At 37.6% G+C, this 22461-nt stretch overlaps 1 protein-coding gene across 22 annotated transcripts in view; it reads right to left on the bottom strand.

Annotated features, from left to right (window-relative positions):
• The window catches only part of L3MBTL3 (L3MBTL histone methyl-lysine binding protein 3), a 122858-nt gene that overhangs the window by 85484 nt on the left and 14913 nt on the right, over window positions 1-22461 (bottom strand). For 8 of the 22 annotated variants that reach the window (XM_047419407.1, XM_006715576.4, XM_047419401.1 and 5 more), the window contains exons 3-8: window positions 13154-13270; window positions 6562-6673; window positions 6125-6304; window positions 4547-4706; window positions 2964-3096; window positions 700-784 (exon numbers count right to left, since the gene is read on the bottom strand). In XM_047419407.1, coding sequence (XP_047275363.1) covers window positions 700-784; window positions 2964-3096; window positions 4547-4706; window positions 6125-6304; window positions 6562-6673; window positions 13154-13255 — 772 coding nt within the window. In that variant the 5' untranslated portion in view covers window positions 13256-13270. The remainder of the gene's footprint in view (window positions 1-699; window positions 785-2963; window positions 3097-4546; window positions 4707-6124; window positions 6305-6561; window positions 6674-13153; window positions 13271-22461) is intronic. The other 14 variants (XM_011536184.3, NM_032438.4, XM_011536181.3 and 11 more) reach the window with 2 other exon arrangements.

Raw genomic sequence — 22461 nt, 5'->3', positions numbered from 1 at the left:
ATCCATCTCGAAAAGAGAGGGGAGGGGAGGGGAGGGAAGGGAAGGGGAGGGGACAGAAGGGAAGGGAAGGGAAGAGAAGACAGAAGAGATGAAAAGAGAAGGCAAAAAACAGGTTCCACGCCAGGAGCTCATGTTTTGAGAGGGAACATTAAAAACCTAAAACTGTGGGAAATGAACAAGAACAGAGGTTTTATAGAGAAGCAGAGGCAGGAAACACCTACTTGATGAGGGGAACAGAGAGAGAGAGAGAGAGAAAGAGAGAGGGAGAGAGGGATGGAGGGAGGGAGAGAGAGGGAGGGAGGGAGAGAGAGGGAGGGAGGGAGGGAGGGAGACAGGGAGAGGCGGAGACAGAGAGGGAGGGAGAGAGGGAGAGAAGGAGGGAGGGAGAAAGGGAGGGAGAGAGGGAGACAGGGAGGGAGAGAGGGAGAGAGGCAGGGAGAGAGGCAGGGAGAGAGGGAGGGAGAGAGGGAGGGAGAGAGGGAGGGAGGAAGACAGTTCTCATGCTTACCCTGAAACCACTTGAAAGTTAAGAATTTTCATTTTTTTCCTTATCCTCAAAATCTCAAATCTTTATTGACCAAACTGAATCAAAGAAAATCCTGAAGTAATACTTTAAGTGGCATGACTAAAATTTCCACCTGTGTGAACCATTTCCAATTTCATAAAGTTACAAGTAAGACTTTATTTTCATCAGCTCACCCTGCTTTAGTACAGCCGAATCCCCTCGTCTTTTCCTCCGTGCTCTCTGCGAACCCCTCAGGATTCTTACATCTTGTTTGTTCTCCTACAAAAAGAAAGGAAAATTATGACTTTAAAGTTCAAGAAATTGGCACCAGTGAATAGTTAGAGAGCTATCAGAAAGCACTTTTTCTGTTGTTCTTTTCTTCAGTTTTACTTTGTAACTTTTAAGGAAAGTAAGAATATAGTTCATCTGAAAACTGTTGCTTTTGGCCTGAGGTTATTACAAAATAAGACTGTATCCACGTGTTACCGGTTGGAAGGGCATGGACACCGCTCCCCGCTCCTTGAAACACTTTCTGCTCTCAGCTGCGTGACCGCTCTGCTCTGATTTTCCTCACGCCTTACTGGCTCCTCTTTGTCTCCTCTGCTGATGTCTCCTCCAATCCAGTTCCCTTCTCTACTCTTTCTAGTCCCTTTCCCTGGGTTTTCAAGGTCATCTTACATAGGCCAGATACTCCCAATCCACACCCTCAGCTTCCTCTTCCTTACTCCATGTGGCTGTAGACAAATGCCTACTTGGGATCTTCACCTGGATGGTTAATCAGCATTTCAAACCCATCATGGCCAAAGGACTCTGTGTTCTGCACTCCACCCTCATCTTCCCATTCTCAGTAAGAGACAGGATTATCCAGCCAATTGTTAAAGCCAAAGTTTTATCCCTGATTTTTCTCTTTTCCTCACACACTCTGACAACCCTACCTCTAACATTGATTCCCAAATCCACGGACTTCCATCATCTTCAGCCTTCTTACGTTGTCTACTGCAATAAACTCCTAACTGGTTTCCCTGATTCCACTCAGGGCTACAGTGGTCATTTAAAACATACATCATATCAAAGCATTCCCTTGTCTTAACTTTCCAGAGGCTTCCCCTGACACTCAGAATACAATGAACACCCTCGACTCTTGTTTACCATAAAACCCTACATGCCCTGGACCACAGGTACCTCTTCAACTTCATCTTACTCCACCCTCTCCTAAACCAGTGACCAGACTTCCTTTTATTTCCTCGAACAAAACATGCTGTGCAAGTTCTTACCTTAAGGACTTTCCTCTGGAAGTTCTACTACCCAGAAGACGCCTCACTCTCAACTTCACATAGCTGACTCCTCTTCATTCATCAGATCACACTGTTCATGCCATCGTCTTTGAGAGGGCTCCCTGACAACCCAACCTAAAGTAGTCAGCCAATCCTAATGCCCTATTTTAATTCTCAACGTAGCACTTATCACTAGGTGACATTTCTCCTGTTCATTTTGTTTGTAGATTAACTACCCCCTAAACAAGAATGCAGTGTCTCTGCCAGGAGAGACTCTATGTCATCTATTTGTCTTATGCATCCCTGTATTCTCAGCTCCTAGAACAGTGACTCCCAAGTAACAGTTGTACAATACCGATCTCAACGGAAACACTTCCAGATCTCAAAGTTCCCTTTTCCTATAAAACCATTAATAGATGCCTTTAGGAATATGATATTTATGTTTTAATTCACACATTTTGAATGGCTTTTCCCCAAATATACCTGATATTTGTGTGCCATTTTTTAACCACTCAGATAGTTTTTTTTGTTTTTTTTTTTTGAGACACAGTCTCGCTCTGTCGCCCAGGCTGGAGTGCAGTGGTGCAATCTCAGCTCATTGCAAGCTCCACCTCCCAGGTTCACGCCATTCTCCTGCCTCAGCCTCCCGAGTAGCTGGGACTACAGGAGCCTGCCACCACGCCTACCTAATTTTTTGTATTTTTAGTAAGGAAGGGGTTTCACCGGGTTAGCCAGGATGGTCTCGATCTCCCGACCTCGTGATCTGCCGGCCTCGGCCTCCCAAAGTGCTGGGATTACAGGCATGAGCCACCACGCCCAGCCCACTCAGATAGTTTTATGAGATCTGTCTGCAATTTAAAGAAATGAGATTGGCATTGTGTTGTCAAGAGGAATTTAAGATTCATCTACAAGACTGAAGGTTTTTAAATGTTCCCTTTCACCCTAGCACTAAATTTCAGGACATCCCACTTTTTCACCCTGAGAGAAGGATACTATTGTTTATGATTCCCATTTTGAGATCAGGACAGCAAGGCACACAGAGGCCATGTAACTTACTGACACTAACACAGATAGTCCTGGAACCCACATTTGAACTCAGTGGGCTCCAGAGCAGTGCTTGTGACTGTGATGCTACCCACTAAAGATGCATCCCTGTGCTCCTGGTGTCAGGCAGAGGCACTCACCATTTCATCATCTCTCTCTTCTCCATCCTCCTTGGTGTCAGCTTTCAGAGATAATTTTGGTTTTTTCTTCCGACTACACTTAGGATCTTCTTCCTCATTGTCTTCTTCTACGTCCCTTTCTTCCTTCTGATCTCTGTTGTGTTTATAAACCCAAAATAGTGACAAGAGACAATACCTATCAAACATCTACTTGTTGATTATCAATGCAACAATCATTAAAAAAAAATCACCCTGCAAAGGAAAAATCTTTAACTACCAGGAGAAATCTGTAGGCATGAGAATATCATATATCAGGAACACTGAAAACAACTATTACATATGACATCTGTCTGTCAGGGCAGAAAATGAAAATTACCTTATATATTAATTTCAAAAGGGGGCCAGCAATATGTATGAAATAGGTTCTAACAAGTTATTTGTCTGTCACATCTACCATCTATACTAATAAAAGAATTGATTATTTAGAGATATTTGTTTTCAGGGTCAAAGAAGGATCTAGCAGTTATTAAGAATGACAAATCCAATTGAAAAAAGGCTAAGTGTAACATTGTGAAACATCAGTTATCCAAGAAAAACAAGACAGTTCCAGTTGGGCGCAGTGGCTCACACCTTTAATCCCAGCATTTCGGGAGGCTGAGGCAGGCGGATCATGAGGTCAGGATATTGAGACCATCCTGGCTAACATGGTGAAACCCCGTCTCTACTAAAATAGAAAAAACTAGCTGGGTGTGGTGGCGTGCGCCTGTAGTCCCAGCTACTCGGGAGGCTGAGGCAGGTGAATTGCTTGAACCTGGGAATGTGGAGGTTGCAGTGAGCCAAGATCACGCCACTGCACTCCAGCCTGGCGACAGAACAAGACTTCATCTCAAAAAAAAAAAAAGAAAAAGAAAACATTTCCCAAGCCTGTGCTGATTAAAATACATGGGAAATGCCACTAAAATATAAATGTCCAGTCATTTCTTTGTAGTATACAATGATATGCAAGAAAAACACCTTCTTGGTGATAAGCTGAACTTTGTCAGACTGTCCCCAAATGGGAAGGTCACACACCACTACCAGTTACAGCTGATGCCTCTGTCTCATAATCCTCAGTCCACACCTTGAGATCATCAGTGACCCAACTCACTACACTCTTCCCTATGGCCATTTCCATTCAGCTGATTACGAATCAGTGGAAGCTTTATGCCGTAGGTGGAGTTTTAACCGAGTTACCTAAGAATTCCCAAAATATAAACAAAACTATGTTTCTATAAATGTCAGTGTCATCGAAATGTGTATATAGCCCAGAAAAAACTAAATACTCTTAGCTGAAGACAATCAAATGAATGGAAATGGAAGACTGAAGGCAGAGGCAGAGGCTGTTTTGCAGGCAGAATATTAGTAATACAACTCAGACCAGGCATGACAGACGTCACCAGGTCCCATATAGGGGTTAGGGCCCATGTGGCCCTAAAGGAAAAGTCTCTGGGAAAAAGGTATCAATAGGTGATCAATGTCCGAGAGCATAAAACTTCTATATTCTCAGGCACCATGACTTTGGAATCTAAAACTCAATTTATAGATGGAATGGGGCAAAAACCTACTTATCTTTGATGTGCCGAGCACAATTCTGGCTGCAATAGTTTCCTCCAGAAAGACACTCATCTACGTTGCCATACTGACAACAGTTCTCACAGAACTGAAGCCCTTCTACTTTCACTGGATCCTTCAACCTGAAAGGCATCCCAGTCTTCTCTGAAAAGACTAGAAGATGAAAAGAAGAAATGCAAATTACAACCATGACAGAAGACATTCTAAAATACAATCAAACTTTTTCTTCTAATAATTTTGTTAGCAACACAATAAAGAATAGTGTTTGCTGAATGAATGAATGATCAAATGATAGTGTTTTCGGGGGGTATGGGCTCTGTAAAAATCACTCAAGTCATTCAAATAATGAAAAAATATTCTGCAGAAAGGATAAAAGCTTGCCCAAGGCTTTTTCTACAGAGTTCAAAGTAAAATGAAGAAAATTTCACTAGTCACTAAATTCAGAAGACGCATATATCGATCTATAGAAACTTCTTCTATATTTGTATCTTTCAGAAAATTTCAGAGGATCTTCTTTTATTTCACATTTATAATCTTTTGATGAATGATTTTGTTTTACTTAATTGGCTAAATCAACATCTCTTCTATTACGCTTTCAATGTAGTACATTTCCTGACTCATAGCTATCCAAATTGTGTAGAAACTCGCATTTCCTTTTGCCTGAATTGTTAGGCTAATCATTCATTCAGCCAGCAGTTATTAGGCACCAATTTATTCTAGACATTAATAATGACAGTAGAGACCTTGCCCAAGAGAGCTCACAGTCTAGAAGAAAAGAGAGGCAAGAAAACCAGTATTTATAATAAAATGTGATACATGCAATACTAGAGGCATAAACAAGGTCCAGAAGTAGTACAGAAGAAGTGATTCATTCAGCCTGGGGTAAGGTCAGAGAAGGATTTTCTGATAGAAAGCCTCAACAGGGTTTTGAAGGCCAAAGAGGAATTTACCAACTGGACAAAGAGAGAAATGGCATTTGAGCCAGAAAAAGCAGTATGAGTAAAGGCAAGAAAGCATGAAACCACATGATGTGTTGGGAAAATTACACGTAATTCTGTGCTGCTGGCACTGCCAGAACACAACATACAAAGAAGGAAACAGAGACTGAGGAGACAAGGCGAGCAGGTAGGTGCAGGCACCCAGATCTTTGTATGTTCTGCTAAAAAGGCAATGAGAAATCAGTGAAGTGTCAGATAAGCAATCTACGTTAAGTTCCTCTGGCTTCAAGGTGCAGGACCAATTGGAAGGGGGTAAAATTAGAAGTAGAGTGACATCTGCAATAGTTCAGATGAGAGTTGAGAAGAGCCTACATTAAGGCCATGGCAAAGATGATAGATAGAAAAGGCCAGATCTGAGACATATTAGGAAATAAAAATCAAGAGGTATAAGTAACAGGATATGGGGATGGGAAGAACAAATTCAGGATGACTCCTGTGTTTCTTGCTTGTCCACTGGGTGGATGGTGCTATTGTCAACTGAAATATGGGTTAGGGAAGAAAGAGCAGGTTTGTGGGGAGGGGAGAAAGAAATAGAAAATGAATTGCATTTCAGACATGTGGAGTTTGAGGTACCTGTGGGACATCCAGGTGGAGATGTCCAGTAGGCAGGTGGAAATACGGGCCTGGAGCTCGGGGGAGAGGTCGGGGCTGGAGATGTAGATTTAGGAGTCATCAGCATATAGGTGTTAGTTACAACCATCGGAGTAGATGAGAAAAAAAGTGGCAGGCTTTTGGCTAAATCACCTGTGTAGGCTACAACATGGATTTACTTAATTTCCAACTAACCTTGTGCTACTACAGATCTGGCATTAGGACAAAGAAGACAGTTTATAGTTATTTTAAAACATAAATGCTGGCTCCTATCAGTTTCATTATAGAAATTTACCTAACAACATGAGGCACAAAAATTACCCGGGGCCTTCAAAGTTCCAGCCTATTATAAAACTTTAGATATTCTTATTTCAAATCTTTCAAAAGCAAGAAATAAAATGCAGATGACCCATCCTTACCTTCTTGAGCAGTTGGTACCATCCAAGTGGTGGTAGCAGTTGCTTTTTTAACATTTTCCATCTCATTCTCATCTGTAATAACTTCCAGGGCTCCAAACTCATTTACCCGAAACTAGCAACAACACAGCAGAAAGGCAAAATTTAAAAAGTGCTCAGGAAAGTCATTAATTATTTAATGGCTGACACATATAGTCTTCAAGCAAATTAATTACATGGTAAAAGTTAATTTAGACAATTATATCCTGATACACCTCCCACCAATACTAAGACCTTTGCATTTTACTAATTTTGGAATTCAAGGAAGGAGAACAGAACAAAGCAGCAAGGTCTGTTGAAGGATACCAATGACCCTGCTCTGCCCTGTCCTATAGAGCTGGCAGCTTACTTGATAGGCTATCATTTCAAACACACTTTGTGTGTGTATGTGTGTGTGTGTGTGTGTGTGTGTGTGTTTTAACTAAGACTTATTTTTTCTTACGTCGTATTTTTTATTTAAAAATCACGTTTAGTAAAAGGAGAATTACTCTTTTCCCAGGAATCAACTTGTCTTGCCCAGGCTCACCCAGTTCAGAGAGAAGGAATATCCCTATGCCAGAAATAATGGCCTGAACATCCTTCTCCTTACAATCCAAGAAGTGAGCACAGAAGGCTGAAGCCTGAACCACATAACCCCAGTGCCACATTTCCTCTTTCTTTCACTGCTCTTTAGAATTCTGCATTATCTTCACTTGTAGCCCTCTAAAATAACTGGAAATTTCTCTGGGACCTGAACAAGTAGTCTACTAGCTACATGCTGATTTTATCACTAAAAAGCAACAGCATCTTGATTTCATGGACATTCCATTCCAAATACTGAAAATTTCCTTTCACCTGACAGCACACTTCAAATAAAGTATGTTTCTACAACAACCTGGTTGTACTGTGTGTGTGTGTTGAAGGCTTACCTACGTGTGGAGACCTTGTTCTCTCTGAAACAGTGAGGTTTACTCACACATTCATGGGTTTCAAGCAGTTTTCTGTATTCCTTCTGTTTTTCCATAAAACAGAATAACATTAGGGACCCACTAATTTTAGCAGGTGATGAAAAAGCTAGAAAGCTCAAAATTCAAAAGGATAGTAAGATGTTTCAGATCTTTCACAGAAATTATGAGCAAATTATGAGTATTTAAGCAAGGCCCTCCATTTGCCAATCCGAAAAAATCGATTTAGTCAACACGCCAATAGAATTATTTATTTTACTAAACTACATTCTAAACTGCAAGTTGGAAAACTCTTCAACAAAAAGTATCAATAATTATTCTTTCTATCAGGTGAAAACAGCACCTTAAACAATGTTCTATGCATAGTCCACAATTATTAAATGGTTTCTAGACTAAACGTGTGGAAATGGTTAAGGAATGTGAGAATGTCTTCGAACCCTACTATGTATTCCAGATACCAGTTCCCAGGTAATATGTGAGTACTATACCAAGTGTGTATACCAAAATGTCAATGTAGGAAGAGGTAAAAGTTTATTTAGAAGGAAAAGAGCTAAAAATAACTTTACTTTTAGAAAAAGAAATCTTTAAAAAAATGTTTTTAATGATCACTTTGAAGACAGAATATTTCAAAATAAGGCTGACAGTACCATCTGCTGGGCAAGAGCAGAAAAAACAAACTACCATGATAATTATTAATTAATGATATTAAAGAATGTGATAAAAAATCAATTTGAATTAAAATTCAAAAACAATAGGCACAAGCTTGACAATGCACTTCAGGTAATTTTACTTTTATCATATGTCACTGATGTTAATTTATGCTTATTTGACAAATACAAAATGTAAGAAATAGCATCAAACATTTACATTAAACAGAAAGTCTCCCATGGCTTAAGTTTTCAAATTGCTGTAAAACAGCAAACCACCCTCCATTTCAAAGACTGAGAAAGAAAACATCACTGAGTGAAATCTTCAAGTCAGAACTCAGAACTATGACACCTGGAAGCTTCAGGTTCAAATACTTTCAAAGTTAAAAGGAACGATTCCCACGATGCAACCTTCAATCCCAGTCAGCTTTTCTTTCTCCTAAAATGTATTGCCAGTAACTGACCTACAGTCTAAGTACAAAGTAAAGATGCAATGTCACTTCGGGGCACAGTTCACTCTTGTAAGCCAGAGATCCACAGATGGACTTTGAGGGTTGATTAATCCCATAAAATATATGCAAAATTATGATATGTGCATATACAGCTTTCTGGGGACAAGATTCATAGTTTTCAAGGCATACTATAAGCCTGAAAAAAAAATAAAGAATACCTGCTCTTATCAAAGTTGCTTATCTCAAAAATTAAATACCTCAAAACATTTTCAAAATATTCTGTCATATGCAAAAACATACAGGGATCAAATTTTTCTCTGATTTCTCAATTTGGGCTTACTGTGTCTTCCACAACATTGCTATGATAGAAAATGTTAGACCACAAAGGTTGATAGGTCCTGCTAACATTACTGAAGTCCTACAGACAGAATTCCAGAAAGACTGATACATTTCCTAACACTATGTTTTCCAATAAAACACCCAGGTTCTGAAATTAGTGATGCTTTTACAAATGGTTTTGGAATGATGGAAATTTCACCTTTGTTTATATTTCTTTAAATCATTAGTTCTTTTAACCTAGAGAGCTAAAATATGTAAAAAACTTGCCACGTGGCTCCACTCTACAACCAAGAAAGTCAAAATTATAAACTTTACAAAAGGGATTTACTATTAAGCAAACAAAACACATCTGCTAACTTTTTCTGCATGTGGATATATCCAGGTCAATCAGAAAAAAATTATGCCTGAAATATATAAGGGACTGCACATGTTTTGTTTGGCTTGAACTACCTTTAATTGATTCAACTCTCTTTTTTATTTTTGATTGTAGAGTCAAAGGATCTTTTGCCTATATTTGCCTGATTTAATAATAAATCATTAGAAGATACTGTTGAGGTTATTTTCATTTTATTACCTTCAATGCTGAGATTTGAATCGACTTACCAGTGTGTTTTAAGGGCAAAGATGTTTGATAACTAAATTGTTTTCAACATTAATCAAAGCAAGGCAAAAACCGTGTATTAAGAGTGCGGTGAATTTTACTGTTGGGTCTCTGCCTGCTACTGCAGGCAGGGTCTTGCTCTTGGCTAACTGGCAATTATTCTTACTAGATAAGATGCTGTCCTCTCAGGAGTGTATCTGCATTTTACTGAGAGACTCCGAAAGACATTATGACCCAGAGGAATAATTCTCTGTAAATTTCAGACATCATTAGAAGTTCAGGTAGGGAAACTGCTCAGTTATGGGAAGCCCTACCATGTCCCTCTGCACTGCCACTTAGTCACCTCCCTGTTCTTACAGCTGGCGCTGAGACATTAATCTACAAATACGAATTTGCATTTTAAAAGGACAAACTAGGCATTGGTGAAGTTTCCAAAGCTTGCTTAGGCAAAAGTGTTTTAATGACTATAATATTTTCAAGAATGTCAGTGGACACTTGCTGTTTCTCCCTTAACACTCTGTACCTTCTTAAGCTACTCCCTCTTCTGGAAGCCCTTCTCCTTCCCTTCCTCCCTAAAGTATTCATGGAGACTCCTACATATTTCCAGGCACCTGAAGCTCAAATGACATCTGCTTTTCAAAGCCTTCCTGATCCCTCCAGCTGAAATAAATTTTTACCTCCTCTAAATTCCTGTAAAATTTTCCTTGCATCTCTTTTGATATGAAGGTGTTTTCTCTCTTTAGACAGCAGTATAGCAGGTGTAAGATAATCCATTTTAAATATCAGAAAAGCCTGGTTTTGAGACCCCTGCCAGTAACTGACCTAAACAAGTGAATTAACTACTCCAGGCCTCCATTTCCCCATCTGTAAACTGACGAGACAAAAACTATCTTAAAAAGGGTAAAATAAAAGAATTAAATAAAAAGATGCAGGTAGAGTGTTCAGCAGAGAGTACGTTCTCTATTCTTTCCCCTACTGCACCCAGAGATGTCTGTGCTCTGTTTATATAAGCATGCGATAGCCCAGTGTGGAGAAGGGATTCCAGCAACAGGGAACAGTAACAAGGGCCCAGCGTGTGAAGGCTTCAACTAGTGGTTTGGGCTGGGGAGAAAACAAGAGTGGCAGTGGGAGTGAAATGAGACATGGCCAGAGAGGAAAGCAGAGGCCAGACCACCAAAAAACTCTTGTGGTAAACTTAAGGGGCTTGAACTTCACCAAAAAGATTCTGGCAACTGCTAAAAAATGTGAAGAAGAAGGGTGTAACTTGACTGGATAGCAATCATGGGGATTTTACAGGAAAAGTTATTTCAAAACAGCAAAAATTGAGGCATACAAAAACCTGTTCCCATGATAAGAAATTGACTTCTATAGATTTGCTGACTATATTAACTGAATTAACTTTAGCCTAGGAAATCTAGATGCCTCTACCCACTGAAACATAGAAGCCTAGGTAGGATAAAATAGGCAAAGAATGAAGTGAGAGAAAATTTCATGATTCATTCAAAGTTCTTTCTAATATCCTAATTTTGTGAAAAATCAATTTCTTAATCAGATTTCTTAAGCAACTTGGATTTTAAGTAGGAAGCAAGTGAATTAGAAATCTTCAGTGATATAATCAATTGGGTCACCTCTGAATCTCAGATAAAAAGGGTCATAAAGTAAAAGAAAATGACATTTAAATTATTTTTTAAGGGAGGTATCAAACTGTCTACAGCACATGAATTGGATACATGGCAATTACCCAGATAATTAGATGGGTCTGAAAGTCATTATCAAATAACTCAGATGATAATACCCACTAAATGGCTTAATTACCTGATTACCTTAATACAAGTAATAGGTTAATTTCTAAAACTCATTGCTTAGAAAACCTTAAAGCAATACAGATTTCTTAGGGATGGAAACTTCACTCTATTGTTAAAAGCTAACTGAAAAAAATTTACAAATTTCATCATCCACGTGACAGTTTTTTTTAAAAAAAGCCATTGAGAGGAAAATGGATAAAAACACACAAGGGAAATAAAGGAGTAAAGCAATTAAAAATGGCACTGTACATAGTAAGTCACAAAGCCAGAAAAAATACAATTTGTTAAGTGTTCTCTATTATTTTTTTCAATCCTCAAAACCACCTTATCACATAGATTCTAATGTCCTCAATTTTACAGATAAGGCTTCCAAAACTTAGGCAATTGAAATAATTTGACAAAGCTTGGGTAGCTATTATGTAGTTGACATGACCAGTTTGAGAAACAGTTTTTCTTTCTCAAAAATGTTCAGCAACCTTTCTCTGTCATATCTTATCCAGATGAATATTTGGAGAATGTCAGCGCAAGCAAAACGCTTGGCATTCAATTAATTCCTAATTTACTGCAGAGGAAACTTGACCGAAAGGGATTAACTGGCTTTTTCAAGGTCATACAGAGCTAAAACTGAAAACCCAATCTCCTCTCCAGATTCTACTAAACCTCAGTGCAACATTTTTGTTAAACTAAACTCAGAGGTGTTGGCACATTACACTTAATTAAACCCAACCCAACTAAAATCTAAGTATTTTTCCAATGACAGGCAGATTGTCCCAATCTCACCACTGAGGATGAGCTAGGGCAGGCTTGGCTAGGATACTTGTCAAGCAGCCACTAAAAGGGACTAGATTCCAGGAGGCCTAAATAATGGAGCAAGAATTTCTATTCAAGACAGCCTAGAATACCAAACATTTGAGAGGTAAGCCCAGCAATGGCCTGTTGGGGAGATGTGAAGTTCAAATACCTGAACGATCAAGTGCAAACACAAAGTCTAAAGGGCCACAGACCGGTTCAAGGTTCCAGAGATAGGATCAGAGCAAAAGCAAATTAGAAATGAGAGATGGGGGTAGTTGGTTTCCCAGATCGGTGCTTGCGCAACCATGTTTCATGGGACAACAGAAGTGGTCCTGGAATAGGTTTGGGGTTACTGGGAAAAGGAGGCAGGGCAAGGTTATACAAAAGCAGCAGACTGAAGTATTGCTCTCCAAAGAGTTCTCATCTATACTTAGGCAGACGGATTTACAGGAAGAACCCGATTTTGAACAAGTCATTATATAAAAATCCATATTTACAGTATAATTAATTTAAGAGAGGTGAATAATCCTATTTATTCAATACTTTAACATTATCCAGTTTTTAAATGAGAACTCTAGGACACAGAGATTGTGGCTATTCACTTAAAGTTACAAAGCCCATTACTACAAAATCAAAAAAGATAGCTCTTCTAAGTCTGCCATTTCTGCATTTATAGGCTGTCACGGTAAGAGTCAAAACTGAGATGATCCTTCTTGAAACTATAAATCAATTTCTGCGAAATAAGCACATACTGCAGAAACATTCCTTACTCCCCTTATCCAAGTGACAAAGGCTCTGCCATTCCATCAGCATTTCAAATTGTCTTGCAAATTTATTGTGGAGGTCTAAGCATCATCTAAAACCTACACCACTATGATTAATGCTTTTAATTTTTATTTCACATATGTATCCAATTTTAAGTAAGCATACGCACAGATGCACACACACATAATTGTATGTAATAAAGAGGGTTTACCTTTAAGTCACTTCCTGGTAACGTGCCCACTCCATCTTTCCAGTCCATAACACTGAACACATCAAACTCTTGACCACTTGTGCTAGAGGCAGATTCAGTCATGATTTATTTTTTAACCTGAAAGGGGAAAAGAAGGCATATCACTAAATATTCCACATGGAAATCTGTTTTTAATTTAGTACTCGTTAGTTCAGTTTCCCTTAATTACATAATTTTCTTGATCACAATATCCCATATCCCTGGATCTAAAAACAGCTACTTCAAAAATATTAACACTTTTTTCCTAGTACGATCCTTGGAAAAGTATAGAGAAAAAATATTAATAAAAATGTCTTAGTTAAAAAGTGTTATGGTAAACATTTTCTATTCATAAACAAAAGAAATTCATTTATTCAAGGCATATTCACTTAAAACAAAAAGTCATAATGCCATATGGATAGAATTCCTTGCCTGTAAGTAGTTTGTTTTCTGTTTTAAGACACTAGAAAAAAGTAGGTATGGATAAATGATAATCTGCCAATTTGTTATTCTAGGAAATAGGAAAACAGTCTCAAAATGTACAGCAAATACCCATAAAAAGGCTCTGTTAAGATAACCAATTTGGCTACCTAAATTGTGATAAAATTTCTAATTTTCATTTTTTAAAAAAATTGGAAAACAAATTTCCATAATCACATCATTGGTTGTGGTATTGATACTGTTGTTCTAAGACTGTTGTCTTTGTAACATGAGAAAAACAAATAAGTAATTATGTTGGTATCATAGACAACTGATGAAAGATTGATGGCTCCTAAATCTGAATGGAGGTATCAGTATGAATTCATGATGTGTTTTATCTTTAGAAATATGTGTATTTTCTAGTTTTGTCCACTGAAAGAATCTAGAAACAATCATCAATCAACAGTAATGAGCAGTCTAGCTTCAGACTGTGGTGTCTAAATACCATTTCTCACAATTCTCCCCATAGAAGAAGCTGATTTCTGCTCAATAGCAGGAAATGTCCAAGATGAAACTGAAACATCTTGTCAAACAAGAAAGCAAAGAAGCTATCAAAGACAACAGAAGTCATATCCAAAGAATTCAAGAGCCAACCTGAATAGGCCCCTTCTTCTGGCCCCTTTCTTCTGGCCAAAGAAAGGCAAAGTAGTATCCTTACTATCCTTACTAATTTTAGCTGCAGTGAACTGAAACACATCAGATAAACTGAAATCCACAAGTTCATAATGACATTCAAAGCAAACAAATAAACCAAGAACACCTCATTGATCACCTTCTCAGGATTCAAGAAAACCAACTCACTATTTGGAAAAGGAAACATGGATTTATCCTGCCTTTCCAATGTGATCTGTATGTTAGAGTAACCATATCACTGGGCAGATAAAGTTTCCCCTTAGAAAGAATTCCAGCTAATAAGTGAAGAAGGAATGATAGAATATTATAATTTGTAACCTTTAATAAATTAATGGTTCTAGGCAACAACCATCGATGGCTGCCAGGAATGCAAACCCAACACCATCTATGAAGTAGCCTTGCCAGGAAAAAACAAAATCAAACCTAATCTGATCAAGTCTATTTATAGGAGCTATCAGAGAAAGAAAGCCTGTTGTTAAATCATACCACAAAGATATAAGGAAGAAAATCCAGATTACCAGAAATTCTTTAGCAGCATTTCTCAAAGCATGCATTCCTCAAGGGTCTCTGAGCCCCTTTCAAAAGGTCCAAAAAGTCAACTATTTTCATAAAAATACTCACACATTCTTTGCCTTCTTCACTGTGTCGACATTTGCACTGATAGTGCAAAACCAAGAGAGGATAAAATTGCCGGTGCAGTGGCAACAACTGTAGTAGCAGCCATTGCATTCTTCCCCACCATGCATGCACAGTAAATAAATGTCAATTTCACTAAAGACCATTATTGATGAAGTAAAAATAATAAATGTTATTAAGTCTTGATATCTGAATATACATCTTTTTAATATTGTGTGATGAAATGGGAAGTACTTTGACATGCCAAAGTACCATGGATGCAAGCTCCTGGTTTTTAACGGAATGCCTTTTTCACTTAACAAGCTATGTTTATTCGGGTTTGGATATCTGGTAAATATTTTGTCAAAAATTAATGAAGTGGGCCTGTCACATGAAAGAAAACACTAACAGTATTTGTAGCTGCCAATTAAATTTGAACCTTCAAGAGAAAAATCAGGATTTTGTAACACTTACAAGCATCACCATGGGCTTGCCAGCTTCCAGATGGCTAAAGACTTTTCTAAGGCAGTGGATGGGTGGTGATAGTAATGGATGTGATGTTTAAAATATTTCATAATGAAATATGTCAACACTTGGGAGATCTGCCTAACTCGGTTAAGCAAAATTTTCAAAATGACCAACACATGATGGTACAAAATTATGCATAGGTAAATGATCCATTTAAAGTGCAAGATGGACCAACAGATTTTTTTTTTTTTTTTTTGAGACAGAGTTTCGCTGTTGTCGTCCAGGCTGGAGAGTACAATGGCATGATCTAGGCTCACTGCAACCTCCGCCTCCCGGGTTCAAGCAATTCTCCTGCCTCAGCCTCCTCAGTAGCTGGGGATTATAGGCGCCCACCACCACACCTGACTAATTTTTTGCATTTTTAGTAGAGACAGGGTTTCACCATGTTGGCCAGGCTGGTCTTGAACTCCTGACCTCAAGTGATCCGCCTGCCTCAGCCTCCCAAAGTGCTGGGATTACAGGCATGAGCCACTGCACCTAGCCCCAACAGATTTTAATGTAACAGATTATGATTCATAATTGATAAGGTTCATTGGTAAGGTTCCAAACTGCACACTGCAAATAATCTTTAAGAAACTACCACCACCTGTCAAGTTTTAGTGTGGTAACTAAGAATGTTCACTATTAAATGAAAAGTCTATTAAAATATTCCTTCCTTTTCCAACCTCATACATGCATGAAACCAGATTTTCTTCATATACTTCAAGCAAAACAACCCAATGCAACAAGAATGCAGAAGCAGATATCCAGCTATCTTCTATTAAATTAGACATTAAAGAGATTTGCAAAAATGTTTAAAAAATGCATTTCTTGAAACTGTGATTATATTTCATAAAAATTATGCTTATATATACTATCATGTACTGGTTTTACTGTTATTTTTAAATAGTTTAAACTATTTCTAATATAGCAAATATATATATATAAACTATAAAAACAATACCTCTTTGAGCTTTCAACCATTTTTAGAAGTGAAAAGGAACTTGAGACCAAAAAGTCTGAAAGCCAATACTGTAAACTACAAAAAAAGATGAGCAAGGAAGTATGAAATTTAGATGAAAAGGGATTTAAGAAACATATCAACCAATCACAATATTGTAATTCATAGATAATCTGTGGACCCTGATTTAAACAAAAGATTATTAGGAAGGAAAGTATGAATGCCAAATTGGATATTTTATGATATCAAAGAAATACTGTTGCTTTTTTTTAAGCAAAATGATGACAGCATGTACTTTTAAAAGAGGAGTTGTTCCTTATATTTTACAGGTACAAATTGAAAGGAATAGATGAAATGATGTAATGTGAGAAATTTGCTCTAAATTAATAAGCGGATGAAGTAATAAGATTGGCAATGTGTTGGCAATTGTCAAGACGTGTGAAGGGTCCATGATAGTTTATTCTACTACATCCTAGTTTTGTATATGCTTGAAAATTTTGTTCAAAAATTCAAGATTTTTAAAAGTGCAGTCTCCTTACATATATAATATACATTCACTTTTAAATACTTAATAGGAAAAAAAAACTTCTGTTTCTTTTAATTACAGCTAATTTCTGCTGGAATTTACTAGACGCTTCAATATTTTTTCTTCTGTTTTCCCCCTTAAGTAGAGAAAACATCAAATATTAGACATATTATTAAGCCTATTTCTGATCATTTCAAAACTTACACAATCTAAATTTGAAGAAGAATCAGATTTTACAGACCTCAAAAGCACAAGCCACAAAAGCAAACATAGACAACTGGGATTATACGAAACTAAAACGATTCTGCACAGCAATGGAAACAATCAACATAGTTAAGAGAAAACCTACAAAGTGGGAAAAGATATTTCCAAACTATCCATCTGACAAGGGATTAATATCCAGATTATATAAGAAGCTCAAATAACTCAGCAGCAAAAAAGCAAATAATCTGATTTGAAAATGGGGAAATGATCTACACAGATATTTCTCAAAAGGGGACATACAAATGGCCAACAGGTACATTAAAAAAATGCTCAGAATCACTAATCATCAGACAAATACAAATTAAAACCACAAGGAGATATCATCTCACCCCAATTAAAATGGCAATTATGAAAAATGTAAAAGAACAAATGCAGGTGAGGATGCAGAGAAAGGTGAGCTCCTGTATCTTCTTGGTGGGAATATAGAGTAGTATGGCCATTATAGAAAACAGTATGGAGGATCCTCAAAAAAATTAAAGATAGAAATACCATATGATCCAGTGATCCCACTACAGGGTACATATCCAAAGGAAAGGAAATCAGTATATCAGATATCTCTACTCCCATGTTTATTGCAGCACTATTCTTGAGAGCCAAGATATGGAATCAACCTAAGTGTCCATGAGTGGATGAATGGATTTAAAAATGTGGTTTATACACACACAGGAATATTCAACCATAAAAAAGAATGAAATCCTGTCATTTGTGACAGCATGGATAAGCCTGAAGGACATTATGTTAAGTAAAAGAAGGTAGGCTCAGAAAGACAAATATCACATGTTCTCATTCATATGTGAGAGCTAAAAAAGTCTCATAGAAGCAGAAAATAGAACAGTGGTTACTAGAGGCTAGGAAGGGGGTGGGAGGGAGGCAATAGACAAAGGTTGATTAACTGGTATAAAACTACAGTTACATAAGAGAAGTAAGTTCTAGTATTCTATAGCACAGGGGGTGAATATAGTTAAAAATAATTTACTGTATATTTCAGAAGAGTCAGACGATTGGATTTTGAATATTCCCAAAGCAATGAAATGATAAGTATTTGAAGTGAAGGATATCCCAATTACCTTGACTGGATCATTACACATGATATGCATGTATCAAAATATCACATGTGTACCATTAATGTGTACAATTATTATGCATCAATTAAAAGTAATTCTTTTTAAATCAGATTTCACTACCATTAAGACTGCAGCCTCAAAACAGGACCCAGGATGTAAAGAGCTGAGAAAGAATTAATCTAATCAATAATAGAAATATGAAATGAATTAAGACTTAGTATGACTTCTCTCTCACTAAACAGGTAACAACCAGCAATGATATCGACTGCCTATAAAGTGATGTTTAAGAGTGGTAACTTTTTTTTTTTGATAGACAGTAGAGCGACAGAATATCTTCCCCCTGGTGGATAAACTTGGTAATATCTGAGTGATCCTTTAATAAAAAAAGTTTTACTGTTTTTTCTGGTAAAATCTCTAGATAACCATTTCCATTATTTTCTTTGGCAAGTACACTTTAAGGAAATTTAGTGAAATTATCTTATAGTATAAAATTGTCAGCTGTGACTATCCTGGTTATTACAGTCTCCATAAATATAATAGCATTTGATAATAGCATTTGTTCACCAGATACTAAGTGTCAGGCACAATACATACTTTTGTAAGTTTGATTCAATCTTTCTTTCTTTCAGAAAAGGATTCAAAGTAGCAATTTACATATATTATTTCAATTATTTTTTTCAGAAAAACAGGGATTTTATCAACCCTCTAGTCTACACTGAAGAAACTGAGGTGCAGAAAGATTTGGTAACTCAACCAAAACCACAGCCAGTAGCATGGCCACCATTTGAACCCAGGTCAGACTGTTTCCAACAGTGAGCTTTCTTTGTTAACCATCGTTTAATCTTTATAGAGTTTTGTTCTCCTCCGAAAATCTGGCAAAATCTACTTTCACCAGAATATGGTACACCTCAGAACATGACAAAACTAGTTTATTAGGGCCAAAGTTCTTAATATAAATACCAAGTCCACATCAGTGCAACATGTATCTGATAAAGTACCTTCAAAGTACATGCTTACTAACAAAATGTCAGTAAGACATGCAGACGCCACAAATAGATTTTTAGTCTTTTCCTACCTAAAAACCATATATGTACAAAATTCACAGCAGCAAAATCCTGTCTGACAGGAGGAATAGAAAGTAGCAGATATCTAAAAGCTAGTACTGTATATAACCTGCAGTAAATGTTCACTATGTTTTAAGAAATACTCAGAATATGCCTTTGCTGTATGAAACAGTACTAATGATACACAGTGTACTCTGCCTGAAAACATATATCTAACCTTTGTAAAAATAGTTTTCACCCATATTTTCATTCTAAGGTTTGCAGAGATTCTGAATACAATATTATAGCATAAAAATATTTACTATGTTGTCTCTCCCATCATCTAATTTTGAAGCCTATGGGTACTTTCATTATTACAAGAAGACTGAATGGCTACAACAGATTGTTCTTCCACCATCTATTAATGAGGCAGAACAGCCAGGAACCAATATTATTTTAAGAAAAGCTGCTTCTAAGTCACCCCAAGTCTTCCTCCCTTGTTGTCACCCTCTGTAAATGTGTATACTTGCATACAAACATACAAAGTCCTTTCCCTTCAACAATTCGTGTTCCTGAGACTCGGTAAATTTTTTCAGTACTTAGAAATGCTCTTGTGTTTTGTTCTTGTAGGTATCACCTGCTGCTACACCACAATCCACCTGTATTCCACAGGCCACACACACACACACACACACACACACACACACACAAAACAGGTAGGTAAGAGAGTCACAATGCAAGTCACAAACAGTATTTCTCCTTCTGCAGAAAACCCCATCACAATTTTTTTTTGTTAAATGGTGCTGAGATTTCCTAAGGAAGTATCCTGAAAGTACACCCTGGTGGGTCCTCTGTGCTACCAGACAAGATTCGGCTTTTTCCTCCTCATCTCCTCTAACTTCTATTGGTCTCCAGCCACTACTAATGTCATAAGAGGTAAGTTTGGGGTTCAGATGTCCACCAAATGCTTCTGATTCCCACTAATACGTAATGTCATGGCTGACCATGGCTGCAACCAAAGGCATTGATGCCCAGCATGCTGCTACCACTGCCCACTGTGGATGTCAAGGAGCTGATGACTACTGAAGACCGAGACCATTACTGCTGGCACTAGTGCAAAAGTATTGCACTCTGAAAGTCCCTGCTTTGTGAAACAATTTGCTTTTATTACAATGTTCTTTCCCTCAGCCTCCAACAAAAGGGCTGGAGAACAGACTAAATGACATACGACACTTTCCTCAGAATTACCTCCTATCTCTCTCCTACACCACTCCTCATCTCCAAACCAAAGTTGTGAAACCTGACTCTCCCTTGAGATATTCTATCTGCTGGATGAACCTCCTCACTCTCTCATGTAAATAAATCCCTGGCAGCCCCAGTCTACCATGTACCACTTACATCAGGTGGTGATTAAACTAGTTAATATCTTATATTCAAAAACCCCTATGAGGAAGCAGACCACTCATATATTGATGGTGGTGAGCCTTCTTTCTGTATACTTTTTTGTATCTGTTGAATGTTTAAATAATTTTTTTAATGAATAAAAATGAGTTTTTAAATCCGGTTTCATGTTTATTTAAAAGTGTATATTACAAAAGGCATGTCTTCCCATGAAAATATTTGTTATTAATGCCAACAACTGAAGCTACAGCATAGACGTCACGAAGGAAAATCCATTTCCACAAAGCTCTCTGGTAACTTAACTAGTACTCGTTAACTATACATGCACATTCATCAGCTCAACAGATGGATGAGAGGAGGAGGTGTACGGTTCACTCCTCCACAACTCAGGTATGCATTCGCAGACTACGTATTTATGGTTCCTACCATTCCTGAGTGACACCTGAAGTTGCTGTGACATTTAGTAATTTGTCATTTTGCAGAGACATGATTCTGAATCACACATGCCATAAAGCTGGGGCAAGGGCAAGTTGTCCAGCCTGGCCGAGGCCCAGGCATGCTCTTAGTCATAGCGCTTAGTCTCAGTGCTATGAAGACTGTAAATAAAGTGATAAAAACTGTTTCTTTTTAAGAAATGAAACAAAATTAACTGCTAGTTGAGTCTAGTGTTGATGACAGAATGAAGGGAATATGGGGATGTTTATGAAAGCGATAGGCTAGCCACAAAACAGAAGTTTCAGATAAATTAAAGACTGAAATGTCAAATGCAATGATGACTCAGACACATTGTGCGAACAAAACTACCAAATGCTCCAAAAGGAAATAAGTAGAAAAGATGTGTGAATTTGTTTCAATAAGTACTCCAGACAGTAAAAAAATCAGTCATCAAGTGAGATAAGTAGATAGGGGTCTAGAGAGATCATTTAAATTTTCCAATTCTACTTTAGCAATTTTACGGAAGGAATTATGTGCTAAAATGATTTTTTTTCAAGTTGAGAATCGTGACTGGCTGCGGACATTGACCTCACAAATGTCAAGAATCTACTGTATCTCATTTTGACTAGAGATAAACAGTTTGTGTGTCCTTCATAATCTTTCCTTCCTACAACTTCTTTGCTCCTATCTGCCAGGAGTGGATAAAACAGAGGCTCAGAGTGAGGAGCAGGGACTCCTACGAGCTGGGTTCCTGCAGCATATTCAAAATAAAGAGGCTGCCTGGGGCTGAGATGAAGGGAAGATACCAGTCCTCTGAGATATAAGCAGCATAACCTAGGAGGCGCACAGCACAAAGCAAAAGAGTGGGCCCTGCTATAACCCAAAAGTCTGCACCTGCAAATAAGGGAAGAAATTTGGATTACTGAGAAAGGGTACTGACTGTAGCCCAACCATTCCTGGTCAAACCACTGTTCTCCAAATATTGTCTTTAAAAGAATGGCTAGTTAACATTCATCAAGACCAGTTAAATAGTTTTAATAATTTTACAGTTGCTTTTTCTTAAGAGCTGCATTTTATAGCTTCATAGTTAACAAGTACATTTTTCAAAAATAAGGTATAGAAATACTACGGTTATGAGTTAAGAATAGTTATAAAATGAGGGTAGACATGACCTTAAAAGCAGCATCTGAGAATCAGATTCAAATTCTGTCATTCAGATAACAGGCCTGAGATCAGCGCCTGGTGTCAAGGAACTAAACTTGCCAGTTTTTGGTTAAAAGGGCAGTGTATCTTTTGTAAACAGTGTGTCAGGAATACTAACCCTAAAATCATTACTATGAACCAAACAAAAATGACAACTA

Source organism: Homo sapiens, chromosome 6 (assembly GCF_000001405.40).
Source record: "Homo sapiens chromosome 6, GRCh38.p14 Primary Assembly".
Lineage (NCBI taxonomy): Eukaryota > Metazoa > Chordata > Mammalia > Primates > Hominidae > Homo > Homo sapiens.
This window is presented reverse-complemented; position numbering and strand designations above follow the sequence as displayed.